Source organism: Homo sapiens, chromosome 3 (genome assembly GCF_000001405.40).
Source record: "Homo sapiens chromosome 3, GRCh38.p14 Primary Assembly".
NCBI lineage: Eukaryota > Metazoa > Chordata > Mammalia > Primates > Hominidae > Homo > Homo sapiens.
In genome coordinates this window covers 47,355,833-47,369,854 of record NC_000003.12, presented here as the reverse complement: position 1 = coordinate 47,369,854, position 14,022 = coordinate 47,355,833, and the positions used below count along the sequence as shown (strand labels likewise).

The following is a 14,022-nucleotide window of genomic DNA, read 5'->3' as shown; positions in this document are numbered from 1 at the left end:
TCAAGTGATCCACCTGCTTTGGCTCCCCAAGTGCTGAGATTACAGGCGTGAGCCCCCGCGCCCGGCCTGCGTCCCGTTCTTAACCTCCCAGTGCCTTTGTTTCCTCATCTGCAAAATCGAGTTAATGGTAGTCCCCTTGTCTATGCTTGGCAGGGGTAAGAGCTCTGTGTTTGATAAGGGTCTCCAGTGCATCTCTGCGCCATGACTGCAGCAAAAGCCACCATACCTGAAGCTTCCCCTACCTCCCACACTGGCCCAGGTTGCCCATATTAGCTTTCTGTCTGCTTTATAGATGAAGAAACTGAATCCCAGAGAGATTGACTAAGAAGCAGTGGGGAAGCGGCAGAGGTGGGATTTGAACCCAGATCTATGGGACCCTGGAGCAGAGGAGGGGCTTATACAGCTGTACCCTGAAGCTGCTCTGGGTTGATTATCAAGCATAGGTTATTGAAGGGTTTTCATGTAGCTATAACGGAGTTTGATCATTTGAACTTATACCCTGTAAAGTCTACCTATCAAAAACACCTTTCTTCTACTTGAGAGCCTCCCACCTGAGTTCCCAAGACTGACTACTGCCTTCCAACCTCAAGTCTTTGGACATGTTATAGAGGCTTAGGGATTGACAGGATCATAAAGGCTACAAGGTTTTGTCCCCACCCCTCTCCATTGGATGCCTGAGCCCTATATTTATTGCATTCATGTTGCCAGTAACAGAAAAGCCCACTCAAACTAGTTTAAACAGTAAACTCCAGAGGCCCCCTCCACCTTCAGGCAAAGTGTGACCCAGCAGCTCAGCGATATCAGTAAGGATTTGTTTCTCTCTCTCCTCTGTGCCTTCTGTGCTGCTGATCTCATTTTAAGGGCAGCCCACCTCATATCCAAGATGTCGTCTTTGTCACATCTAGTCAGGCTCCCTTATTATTTCCAAGGAGCAGGAAATACCTTGGTCTGGTGCAGTGGCACACACTGGTAACTCCAGCAGTTTATGAGGCCAAGGTGGGAGGACTGCTGGAGCCTAGGAGTTTGAGATCAGCCTGAGCAACATAGTGATACCCTGTTTCTACCAAAAAATTAAAAAGATTAGCTGGGTGTGGTGGTGTATGCCTGTAGTCCCAGCTACTCAGGAAGCTGAGCAGAAGGATTGCTTGAGCCTGGGAGGTTGAGGCTACAATGAGCTAGGATTTTGCCACTGTACTCCAGCCTTGGTAACAGAGTGTCTGTCTCAAAAGAAAGAGAGAGAGAGAGAGAGAGAGAGAAGAAAGGAAACAAAGACAGAGAAGAAGAGGAAAAAGAAGAAGGAGGAGGAGGAAAGAAAGAGAAAGAAAAAAGGAAGGAAGGCAGGCAGGCAGGCAGGAAGGCAGGCAGGCAGGCCAGGCATGGTGGCTCATGCCTATAATCCCAGCACTTTGGGAGGCCGAGGTGGGCGGATCACCCAAGGTCAGGAATTCAAGACCAGGCTGCCCAACATGGCGAAACCCTGTCTCTACTAAAAATACAAAAAAACTAGCCAGGTGTTGTGGCAGGCACCTGTAATCCCAGCTACTCGGGAGGCTGAGGCAGGAGAATCGCTTGAACCCAGGAGGTGGAGGTTGCAGTGAGCCGAGATCGCACCACTGCACTCCAGCCTGGACAACCAGAGCAAAACTCCGTCTCAAAAACAAAAAAAAAAAAAAAAAAAAAAAAAGAAGAAGAAGAAGAGAGGGAGGGGAGGGAAGGAAGAAAGAAAGAGAAAGTGTTCTGTGTTCCCACCAAAAGTTTTGAGATGTATTCTAATTGGACCAGCTAATCACATGCATACCCTGAACCACATTAATGGAGGGATGAGAGGCACTGGTAGACTTCGGCTAAGTCTAGTTACTCTAAGTTCCACTCCTAGAACCATGCAGATCCTCAAAAGGAAATTGAGGCCCTATTCGAAGGGAAAAAAGGTAGGGGAAATAGATGCCGAAGAGGCCAAGCATCAGATGGCCCCTACAGTTTCCTATGATTTTCCTGCCAGTGGATTGTCCAGACATAGTTCAATGTTTCCCAAGCCGCCTCCGTCATGCTAGGCTGTAGCTGTTGTCAGGAGGCCTTTCCCATTGACATGTCTCCCTCTGAGAGTGCAATCTCTGATTCTGGCTCTGAGGCCACAAAAACATTCTGGTTGTCTTGTTTGTCGCAGCCTTTCAAGAGCCGGGAACTGAAACCTTGTTGCTCCTCTCCTCCAGGTAAATCTCCCCAGTTTCCCACTATTCTACATAAGACTTGGCTGTGTAATTTGAACACGTTTCCTAACTTTTGTTGTTATTGTTGTTGTTGAGACAGAGTCTCACTCTGTCATCTAGGCTGGAGTGCAGTGGCGTGATCTCGGCTCACTACAACTTCCGCCTCCCAGGTTCAAGCGATTCTCATGCCTCAGCCTGCTGAGTAGCTGGGATTACAGGCGCACACCACTATGCCCAGCTAATTTTTGTATTTGTAGTAGAGATGGGGTTTCACCATGTTGGCCAGGCTGGTCTCGACCTCCTGACCTCAGGTGATCTGCCCGCCTTGGCCTCCCAAAGTGCTAGGATTAGAGGCATGAGCCACCACACCCGGTCAACATTTTTTTTTCTTCTTTTTTTTTTTTAAGAGACAAGATCTTCCTGTCACCCAGGATGGAGTGCAGTGGTGCAATCATAGTTCACTGGAGCCTTGAACTCCTGGGCTCAAATAATCCTCCCACCTCAGCATCCTGAGTAACTGGGACTACAGGTGCATGCCACCACCCTTGGCTAATTTTTTATTTTTTTGTAGAGATGGGGTCTTGCTATGTTGCCCAGGCTGGTCTTGAACTCCTGGGCTCAAGCAATCCGCCTCAGCCTCCCAAAGTGTTGAGATTGCAGGAATGAGCCACTACACCCAGCCAGTTTCCTAACTTGTACAGGCCTCATTTTCCTCATCTGTCAATGCTGGGGGCAATCTAAGCTTCTCAAACTGATGGGGAGTCACATATTGGGAGTGCAGAGTCCCTGAACAAACACGCTACAGCATCTAAAGGCTTGATTTTACTGGAGTTTCTGCCCCACCGTGGAAATATTAATACAAAATGTTTCAATGTTAAAACAGTTATGGACAACTCAACAATAAAAAAACATAATAATTTGGCTGAGCACAATGGCTTACACCTGTAATCCCAGAACTTTGGGAGGCCGAGGCAGATGGATCACTTGAGGTCAGGGGTTTGAAACTAGCCTGACCAACACGGTGAAACCCAGTCTCTACTAAAAATACAAAAATTAGCTGGTGTGGTAGCAGGCGCTTGCAATCCCAACTACTCGGGAGGCTGAGGCAGGAGAATTGTGTGAACCCAGGAGGTGGAGGTTGAAGTGAGCTGGAATTGCACCACTGCACTCCAGCTTGGGCGAAGCGAGACTGTCTCAAAAAAATAATAGTAATAATAATAATTTTAAAATGTGCAAAGGACTTGAATAGGCATTTCTCAAAGATGATATGTAAATGGACAATAAGCACAAGAAAAGATATTCAACATCATTAGCCATTAGGAAAATGCAAATCAAAACCACAGTGAAATATCATTTCATACACACTAGGATGGCTGTAATAAAAAAAGAGGGGCAGACTGGGCATGGTGGCTCACAGCTGTAATCCTAGCAGTTTGGGGGCCAAGACAGGAGGATCATGTGAGCCCAGGAGTTCAAGACCAGCTTGGGCAACATAGTGAGATCCCATCTCTACAAAAAATTTTAATTAAAAAAAAATTAGCCAGGTGTCATGACATGCACCTGTAGTCCCATCTACTCGAGAGGCTGAGGTGGAGGATCGCTTGAACCTGGGAGTTCAAGGCTGCAATGAGTCATGATCAAGCCACTGCGCTCCAGCCTGGGCAACAGAGTCTGTCTCAGAAAAAAAAAGCGAGAGAGACAAATGTTGGCAAGGGTATGGGAATATTGGAACCCTCCCAGATTGCTGGCGGAAATGTAAAATGACACAGCCTCTGTGGGAAACAGTTTGGCAGTTCCTCAAAAAGTTAAACATAGAGTTACCATATAACCCAGAAATTCTACTCCTAGCTATACATTTCTGGATAATTGAAAACATATCTCCATACAAAAACTCATATATCAATATTCATAGCAGCATTATTCATAATAGCCAAAACATGGAAACAACCTAAATGGCTATAAACTGATGAATGAATAAATAAAATGTGGACTATTCATACCACAGAATACAGTTCAGCCATAAAAAGGAATGAAGTACTAACACACGGCAGAACATAGATGAGCCTTGAAAATACCGAAGTAAGTGTAAGAAGCCAGACACCAAATGCCACAGATTAACACGATTCCATTTACATGAAATGTCCTAAATAGGCAAATCCATAAAGGCAGAGTGGATTGGTTGCCAGGGATTGAGAGGAGGGGAACATGGGAGAATGACTGCTAATGGTACAAAGTTTCTTTTTGGGGCTGATGACAATGTTCTGAATTGTACACTTTAAAAGGGCGTATTTTATGGTACATAAACTTTATCTCAATAAAAAGAGTTCTATTGAACATTTTAAAAAGCTGGCTAGGGGCCTCATTTTCCTCATCTGTCAATGGTGGGGACAATCTAAGCTTCTCAAACTGACGGCGGGTCATGTATTGGGAGTACACAGTCCCTGAACAAACACATCCGCAGCATCTAAAGGGTTGATTTTACTGGAGTTTCTGCCCCACCATGGAAATATTAATACAAAATATTTCTTTTTTTTTTTTTTGAGACAGAGTCTCGGATCTGTCACCCAGGCTAGAGTGCAGTGGGGCAATCTTGGCTCGCTGCAACCTCCGCCTCCCGGGTTCTCGCCATTCTCCTGCCTCAGACTCCCGAGTAGCTGGGACTGCAGGCGCCCTGCCACCACGCCCGGCTAATTTTTTGTATTTTTAGTAGAGACGGGGTTTCTCCATGTTAGCCAGGATGGTCTCAATCTCCTGACCTCGTGATCCGCCCTCCTTGGCCTCCCAAAGTGGTGGGATTACAGGCGTGAGCCACCGCGCCCGGCCCAATACAAAATATTTCAATGTTAAAACATTTATAGACAACTCAACATAAAAAATATAATAATTTGGCCAGGTGCAGTGGTTCACTCCTGTAATCCCAGCACTTTGGGAGGCCGAGGCGGGCAGATCACCTGAGGTCAGGGGTTTGAGACCAGCCTGGCGAACATGGTGAAATCCTGTCTCTACTAAAAATACAAAAATTAGCCCAGTGTGGTGGCAGGCACGTGTAGTCCCAGCTACTCGGGAGGCTGAGGCACAAGAATCACTTGAACCCGGGAGGTGGAGGTTGCAGTGAGCCGAGATGGCACCACTGCACTCCAGCCTGGGCGATAGAGCAAGACTCTGTCTCAAAAAAAATAAAAAATAAAAAATAAAAAGCTGGCTAGGCATGGTGGCTCATGCCTGCAATCCCAGCACTTTGGGAGGTCAAGGTGGAAGAATTGCTTGAGCCCAGGAGTTTGAGACCAGACTGGGCAACATAGTGAGACCCTTGCCTCCTCAAAAAATTAGTCAGGCTTGGTGGCTCATGCCTGTAGCTACAGATGCAGAGCACCCAGCTACAGAGCGACAGAGCAGGACCTACCTCAAAAAAATAAAAAAAAAAGTTGCAGATGTATTGTGGAATAAAATGCAGACTCCGCATGGGCATTTTTAAAATACTTTTGTTATTTTTGTAAAACTGAAAGTTTATTATTTTGAAAGTTTTCAAATAATAAAAGCTAAAAGAAGAAACATAGAGATAAGCATACTTTAGTGAACGTTCTTTCAGATGCCCTAATAATGATATTGTTAGGATGTTGATTGGTGCTTAATTTTATATACAAGGAGTTATGCCTTAATCGGGGGTGGGTTGACATGCTATCTTCCTTGGTCTGCGCAATCCCCCTCTCTGCTTTTATTTTTATTTTTCCCACCCCATTTCCTATCCCATCCCATTTTCCATCCCCTCAACCTTTAATCTTTTTTTAAATACATACAGTGGCATGATCATAGCTTATGCCATGAGCTATGAGTGTCTGTTCTCACACTTGAGCCTCTAACTCCTAGGCTCAAGCACTCCTCCCATCTCAGCCTCCTGAATAGTTAGGACTACAGGTGTGTGCCACCATGCCTATCTAATTTTTTAATTTTTTGTGGAGATGGGCTCTTGCTGTGTTGGGGTCAGGCTGATGAACTCCTGGGCTCAAGCATTCTCCCTCTTCTGTCTCTGGAGTAGCTGGGACTATGGGCATGTGCCACGACACCCAGCCCTTTAATCATTCTTACTGGCATTTTGGGGGTGTTAGAAAATGTGTATCATTTCAAGAGATGAATTCTAATATCTATATATAAAGAGTAGTAAGTTACACATCTCTTCTTCCTAAAAGTGGCAGTCTATCAGAGAAGGGATAATGGCAGGGGCCTGGAGGGCGTGAGTGTTGGCAGGCTTGACAGTGGTGGCCCAGTGCTGTTGAGCTATGAGATTGTCACCCAGGCCTTAAAAATCTACCATGGGGATAATTGGGAAAGTCCCGTTTCCACTGCTGGAGGCCATCCCATTAGCTAGGTCGGTGAGTGTCTCAAGGGCCCAGGCTTGGGTAGGAGACAGTGGGGAAGCAGGTATTACCTGCCTCATACCTGTAAGGATGGCTGGCAGGAGAGAATGCCTGGCACAGGCACCAAGTGCTTGGTTACTGTTCGTTATTGATGTTATTATAATGTTTCTCTCACCTGAAGGTAAGACAAGATAGTAATCTTGGGCCTGAAAGCCAGCTGGCTGGTAAATTTAGAGCTTCATCCAGCGAAGTCTGGGGATCCAGACTATACTCAGGTCCTGGGCTTGGGGGAATATGCAGAGCTGTTTCAGAGGACAGACAGGAAGGGAACTGGTCTCACCAACACCTTTGGGGGTTTCCGGTTTCCCCTTCCTGCACTATTACCTCACGTGGCAGCTGAATACGCAGGGCAGGGATTCTTCTTCCTGTTTCCTCACACAGAGGAGGAAATTGAGGGACAAAGACAGGAAGTGACTTGTATTAGGCCGTTCTTGCATTGCTATAAAGAAATACCAGAGATTTGGTAATTTATGAAGAAAAGAGGTTTAATTGGCTCACAGTTCTGCAGGCTTTATAGGAAGCATAGTCCTGGCATCTGCTTGGCTTTTGAGGAGGCGTCAGGAAACTTGCCATCATGGCAGAAGGTGAAAGGTGAGCAGGCACGTCATATGGTGAAGGCAGGAACAAGGTGGAGGGGACGTGCCACACACATTTAAACTACCAGATCTTGTGGGAACTCAGAGAAAGAGCTCACTTATCATGAAGGGGATGGCCCAGGTCATTCATAAGGGATCCACCCCCATGATCCAAACACCTCCCACCAGGCTCTACCTCCAACACTGGGGACTACAATTTGACATGAGATTTGGTAGGGACATACAGTCAAACTACATCATTCTGCCCATGGCCCCCACAAATCTCATGTCCTTCTCACATTGCAAAATACAATTATGCCTTTACAACAGTCCCCTAAAATCTTATTTGTTTTTTGTTTTTTTTTGAGACAGAGTTTCACTCTTGTTGCCCAGGCTGAAGTACAATGGTGCGACCTCGGATCACTGCGACCTCGGATCACTGCAACCTCTGCCTCCCAGGTTCAAGTGATTCTCCTGCCTCAGTCTCTGGAGTAGCTGGGATTGCAGGTACCCACCACCATGCCTGGCTAATTTTTAAATATTTTTAGTAGAGATGGCGTTTCACCATGTTGGCCAGGCTGGTCTTGAACTCCTGACCTCAGGTGATCCACCCGCCTCGGCCTCCCAAAATGCTGGGATTATAGGTGTGAGCTACCGTGCCTGGCCTAATTTTATTTTTTTGAGACAAGTTCTTGCTCTGTCACCCTGGCTGGAGTGCAGTGGTGCTATCTCGGCTCACTGCAACCTCCACCTTCCAGGCTCAAGTGCTCCTCCCATCTCAGCCTCCAGAGTAGCTAGGACCACAGGCACATGCCACCATGCCTGGCTAATTTTTATATTTTTTTTGTAGAGTTGGGGTTTCACCATGTTGCCCACGCTGGTCTTGAACTCCTGGACTTGAGTGATCCATCCACCTTAGCCTCCCAAAATGCTGGGATTACAGGTATGAGCTACTGCTCCTGGCCTACTTATTTATTCATTTTAAAAATTGTTTTATCAACTCCCAAGCACTTAGACTCCAAAGTCTTAACTCATTCCAGCATTAACTCAAAAGTCCCCCAGCCTGACCAACATGGTGAAAACCTGTCTCTACTAAAAATACAAAAATTAGCCGGGCTTGGTGGCACGCGCTTGTAATCCCAGCTACTCAGGAGACTGAGGCAGGAGAATTGCTTGAACCCGGGAGGCAGAGGTTGCAGTGAGCCAAGATCGAGCCACTGCACTCCAGCCTGGGTGACAGAGCAAAAATCCTACTCAAAAAAAAAAAAAAAAAAAAAGTCTCAAGTCCAAAGTCTTAGCTAGAGATGAGTCCCTTCCACCTAGGAGCCTGTAAAATCAAAAAGAAATTATTTACCTCCAAGATACAGTGGGGGTATAGGCATTGAGTAAACATTATCATTTCAAAAGGGAGAATTTGGCCAAAAGAAAGGGGCTACAGGCCCCATGCAAGTCCAAAATCCAGAAGCCATTCATTAAATCTTTTTTTTTTTTTTTTTTTTTGAGATGGAGTCTCATTCTGTCACCCAGACTGGAGTGCAGTGGTGAGATCTTGGCTCACTGTAACCTCCGCCTCCCAGGTTCAAACCATTCTCCTGCCTCAGCCTCCCAAGTAGCTGGGACTACAGGCATGTGCCACCATGCCCAGCTAATTTTTTTTTTTTTTTTTTTTGAGATGGCATTTTGCTCTTGTCGCCTAGGCTGGAGTGCAATGGTGGGATCTCGGGTCACTGCAACCTCCTCCTCCCAGGTTCAAGCAATTCTCCTGCCTCAGCCTCCTGAGTAGCTGGGATTACAGGTGCCCACGACCACGCCCAGCTAATTTTTTGTGTATTTTTAGTAGAGACAGTGTTTCACCATGTTGGTCAGGCTGGCCTCGAACTCCTGACCTCAGGTGATCCACCTGCCTTGGCATCCCAAAGTGCTGGGATTACAGGCATGAGCCATCGCATCTTGCCTAATTTTTGCATTTTTAGTAGAGATGGGGTTTCACCATGTTGGCCAGGCTGATCTTGAACTCCTGACCTCAGGTGATCTGCCCACCTCAGCCTCCCAAAGTCCTGGTGTTAGATATGAGTCCTAAATTTCTCTTCAAAGAGTCAATATGTCAGTATGTTCCATTCTTTGCCTTCTACTTTTAAACTTAACTTCCTCATAAAGCAACCTTTTTCCATCACCTGCTCCACCCTGACTCATTCCGATTACCTGCTCCACCCTGACTCATTTCAATTACCTGCTCCGCCCTGACTCATTCTCCACCCTGACTCATTCCATAACCATTTTTCCTGCCAAACCACTTACCTCATCACTCTCTTTAAATTAGCCAATCAGAATTAGTTTAGCCTGTGCAGTCTAACCCTAGCCAATAGGGGAACAACACAGCAGCAGGAGAAATTCTTCCCCTCCCTTGCCCAGGTTTGCACTCACCATTGCTCCATCTGTGAGGGCGCACCCTTCTATAGAAGTAAATTGCCTTGCTGAGACGAAAAAAAGAAAATTTTATATTCAAGTGCTATTTCTTTTGCTGCACCAAAACTTTATAACACTGGGATTACAGGCATGAGCCACTGCGCCCAGCCCATTCATTAAATCTTAATGCTCCAAAACAATCTTCTTTGACTCCATATCCTGCATTCAAGGCACACTGGTGGGAAGGGTGGGTTCCCAAGGCCTTGGGCAGCTCTGCCCCTGTGACTTTTCCATGCTGAAATTGCAAGCCATTGGTGGCTCTAACATTCCTGGGTCTGGAGGATGGCAGCCTCCTTCCAACAGCTCCACCAGGCAGTGCCCCACTGGGGACTCTGTGTGTGGGGTCTAACTCCACATTTCCCCTTGGCACTGCCCTAGTAGAGATTCTCTGTGAGGGCAGTGCTACAGCAGCAGGCTTCTGCCCAGACACCCAGGCTTTCCTCATACATCCTCTGAAATCTAGGCGGAGGCTGCCAAGCCTTCACTTTTGGACTCTGTGCACCCACAGGATTAACATAATATGGAAGCTGCCAAGGCTTACCACTTGCATTCTCCAAAGTGAGACTGCAAAGTGGCAGCAGCTTGAGCTATACTTGGGCCCCTTTGAGCCCTGGCTGGAGCTGGAGTGGTCAGGATGTGGGAAGCAGTGTCCTGAGGGTGTGCAGGGCAGCAGGGCCCTAGGCCTGGCCCATGAAATCATTCTTCCCCACTAGGCCTCAGGGCCTGTGATGGGAGGGGCTGCCACAAAGGTCTCTGAAATGCCTTCAAGACCTTTTCCCCATTGTCTTGGTTATTAGCATTTGGCTCCCTTTTAGCTATGCAAATATCTCTAGCAAGTCGTTGTGCCACAGCCTGCTTGAATTCTCTCCTTGAAAATGGGCTTTACTTTTCTACCACATGGCCAGGTTGTAAAATTTCCAAACTTACACATTCTGCTTCCCTTTTAAATATAACTTCTGCCCAGGCATGGTGGCTCATGCCTATAATCCCAGCACTTTGGGAAGCTGAGGCAGGTGAACTGTCTGAGGTCAGGAGCTCAAGACCAGACAGACCAACATGGTGAAACCCTGTCTCTACTAAAAATACAAAAAAATTAGCCAGGTGTGGTGGTGCATGCCTGTGATCCCAGCTACTCGGGAGGCTGAGGCAGGAGAGCTGCTTGAACCTGGGAGGTGGATGTTGCAGTGAGCTGAGACTGCACCATTGCACTCCAACCTGGGCAACAAGAGTGAAACTCCATCTCAAAAACAAACAAATAAATGAATAAACAAAAAATATACATATGTTCCAACTTTAAGTCATTTCTTTGCTCCCACAGCTGAGTATAGGTTGTTAGAAGCAGCCAGGCCATATTCTGAGTGCTTTGCTGCTTAGTAATTTCTTCTGCAATACCCTAAATCAAACTTCCACAGATCCCTATGGCATGAACACAATGCAGCCAAGCTCTTTGCTAAGGCATAACATGCGTTACTTTTGCTCCAGTTACCAATAAGTTCCTCATTTCCATCTGAGACTTTGGCAGCCTGGACTTCATTGTCCATATCACTATCAGCATTTTGGTCACAGCCATTTAACCAGTCTCTAAGAAGTTCCAAACTTTCCCTCATTTTCCTGTCTTCTTCCAAACTCTCCAAACTCTTTTTTTTTTTTGAGACGGAGTCCCACTCTGTTGCCAGGCTGGAGTGCAGTGGCACAATGTTGGCTCACTACAACCTCCACCTCCCGTGTTCAAGTGATTCTCCTGCTTCAGCCTCCTGATTAGCTTGGAGTACAGGCACGTGCCACCATGACTGGCTAATTTTTGTATTTTTAGTTAGAGACAGGGTTTCACCATATTGGCCAGGCTGGTCTTGAATTCCCAACCTCAGATGATCTGCTCACCTCAGCCTCTGAAAGTGCTGGGATTACAGGTGTGAGCCACCATGCCCAGCCTGAGCCCTCCAAACTCTTCCAAACTCTACCTGTTACCCAGTTCCAAAGTCACTTCTACACTTTCAGGTATCTTTATAGTAATGCCCCAATCCTTGCTATCAATTTTCTGTATTAGGCCGTTCTTGCATTGCTATATTAAAAAAAATACCTGAGACTGGGTAATTTATAAAGAGAAGAAGTTTAACTGGCTCACAGTTCTGCAGGCTTTATAGGAAGCATGGTGCTGGCATGTGCTTGGCTTCCAGGGAGGCCTCAGGAAGCTTGCAATCATGGTGGAAGGTGAAGTGGGAACAGGCACATGGTGAAAGCAGAAACAAGAGAGCGAATGGAGGGGGAGTTGCCACACACTTTTAAATGACCAGATCTTGTGTGAACTCAGAGCAAGAGTTCATTTATCACCAAGAGCATGGCCCAAGCCATTTATGAGGGATTAGTCTCCATGATCCAAACACTTCCTACCAGGTCCTACCTCCAACACTGGGGATTACAATTCAACATGAGATTTGGCAGGAAGATACGCTCAAACTATATCATGACCCCTCAGGGTTGTACAGTTAGTAAGCGGTATCCTTTGGCTACTTTCCAAAAGCTGAAGCACCTTAAACCTCTGCTGAGACTACTTAACAAGCCCCCTGGCTTTGGTGAAAAGTGCAGACCTGGGGTAAGACCCTTCCAGCTGTGTAACCTTAACCTCTCGGTGCCTTTGTTCCCTCACCTGTAAAAGGGAGATGATCATGACTTTTTTGTTGCTTCTTTAGAACTCAGCTTTAGGATTAAAGAGATAGTATGCATTTCCAGCTGGGAGATGGCCCCAAAAATGTGCCTTCAGGGAGGGCAGCTGAGTCTTCATCCCTCCAGCTCCCAGCCCTGTGAGCAAAAGGTCCCCTCCTCTCTTGCTCTAAAGAAGATGTGTGTCTGCCTCCACCCACCTCACCTGATCACTTCACCTGAGGTTCGAATGTGGAAAAAATCTGATTTTTTCTCATTGTTTTTTCTTGCTACAAATTATTGCAAATCCTTATTTATAAAAGCAATACATACTTTAAAAATTACTAAATTTATATAAAGAGAACACACCTGACAGGGTGGCTCAAGCCTGTATCCCAGCACTTTGGGAGGCTGAGGCAGCTGGATCGCTTGAACTCAGGAGTTTGAGTCCAGCCTGGGCAACATGGGGAAACCCTTTCTCTACCAAAAATACAAAAACTAGCCGAGTGTGGCGGTGTGGGCCTGTGGTAGCAGCTACTGGGGAGGCTGAGGTGGGATGATCGCTGGAGCCCAGGAAGTCGAGGCTGCAGTGAACTGAGATCTCACCGCTGCACTCCGGCCTGGGCAACAGAGCGAGACCCTGTATCTAAATAAATAAATAAATAAATAATAAATAAATAAGTGGCCATCCTTTATTTTAATGGACGCGCATCTAGTCCACTGGGGTTCTTCCTAGCGATTGTCTCTCGCTCCTGGCTCTGGCTTGCGTCTATGGTTTGAGGATGACTTAGGGGAAAATACCACAGTGGGGCATGGTCCCATGGGTCTACACGGCCCTCCAGGCTCCGGCCTCCCTGGACGGCCGGGGTCCTGGGCTCGGGCAGTCCTGCCATTCTCGGGGTGGGTGGCCCGGACCGGGGTAGGCTCACCTGTGGCTCGCGCCGGGGTCTTTGTTGCAACCGAGGGTCAGGAACCGCAAATGGCCCAGCGTGAAGCATTCTCCCGTGCAGATTGGCCACGGGGGAATTCTTCACGCGGTATTTGCGATTCCTGACACTCGGTTCCAACAAAGATCCCGGCGCGAGTCAGAGGTGAGCCCGCCCCGGTGTGGTCCCCCGGGTCCCTCCTCTAGCCTGCAGACGCGCCTCCCTGAAACTCCGCCGCGAATCCCGTCCTTCCCCTCGCCGGCGGCTTTAGCCTGGTTACCTCCCGACCACTGGGGTGCCGCCGCCTGGGCCAGCAATTTAGAGCATGGCGCCTCAGTTTCCTCATCTGGAAAGTAGGAGCGGATCCAGCACTTAACGCAAGCTGTTGGGAAGGGGGAGGCCTGTAGTGTGTGGGGAATGCGAGGGTCTAGGTTGTTGCTAGTCCTCCGCAGGAGACGAAGAGGAGGGGTCCGGGCTGGCTGAGGGCGCTCGGTGCTCTCAGGGCCCTGGCTGTGCTCTGGACCCTGGGCTCTGGCCCCAAGAGATTCCTTGGAAACCCACCCTCCCCTTAATCCCACATTTGGGAAAACTGGAGGCAGAAGTGGAGCCTCCTGGCAATTGAGAAGAACAGCCAGGACGGAAACAAGTCTCAGAGTCTGGGCCCTCTGGGATCTGGGGAAAGGGGTTCAGCCTAGTGGCCACCTCTAGCCCCATCCTTTAGCCCTGTCTGCCGGCGCCTCAGCCCCCTCACCCAGGCCTTGAGGGAGGGGTCGGTCAGTGACGGTGATGGTGG

The 14,022-nt window shown here is 47.6% G+C and overlaps 1 annotated feature.

The window, feature by feature from the left end:
- Nucleotides 6,309-7,508: an enhancer, noted in NCBI's record as "MED14-independent group 3 enhancer chr3:47403837-47405036 (GRCh37/hg19 assembly coordinates)". NCBI's record gives its function as "activates an origin of replication core promoter dependent on BRD2, BRD4, P300/CBP and CDK7 cofactors, and independent of MED14, by STARR-seq in HCT116 cells {active_cell/tissue: HCT116}" and the evidence as "EXISTENCE:reporter gene assay evidence [ECO:0000049][PMID:35650434]".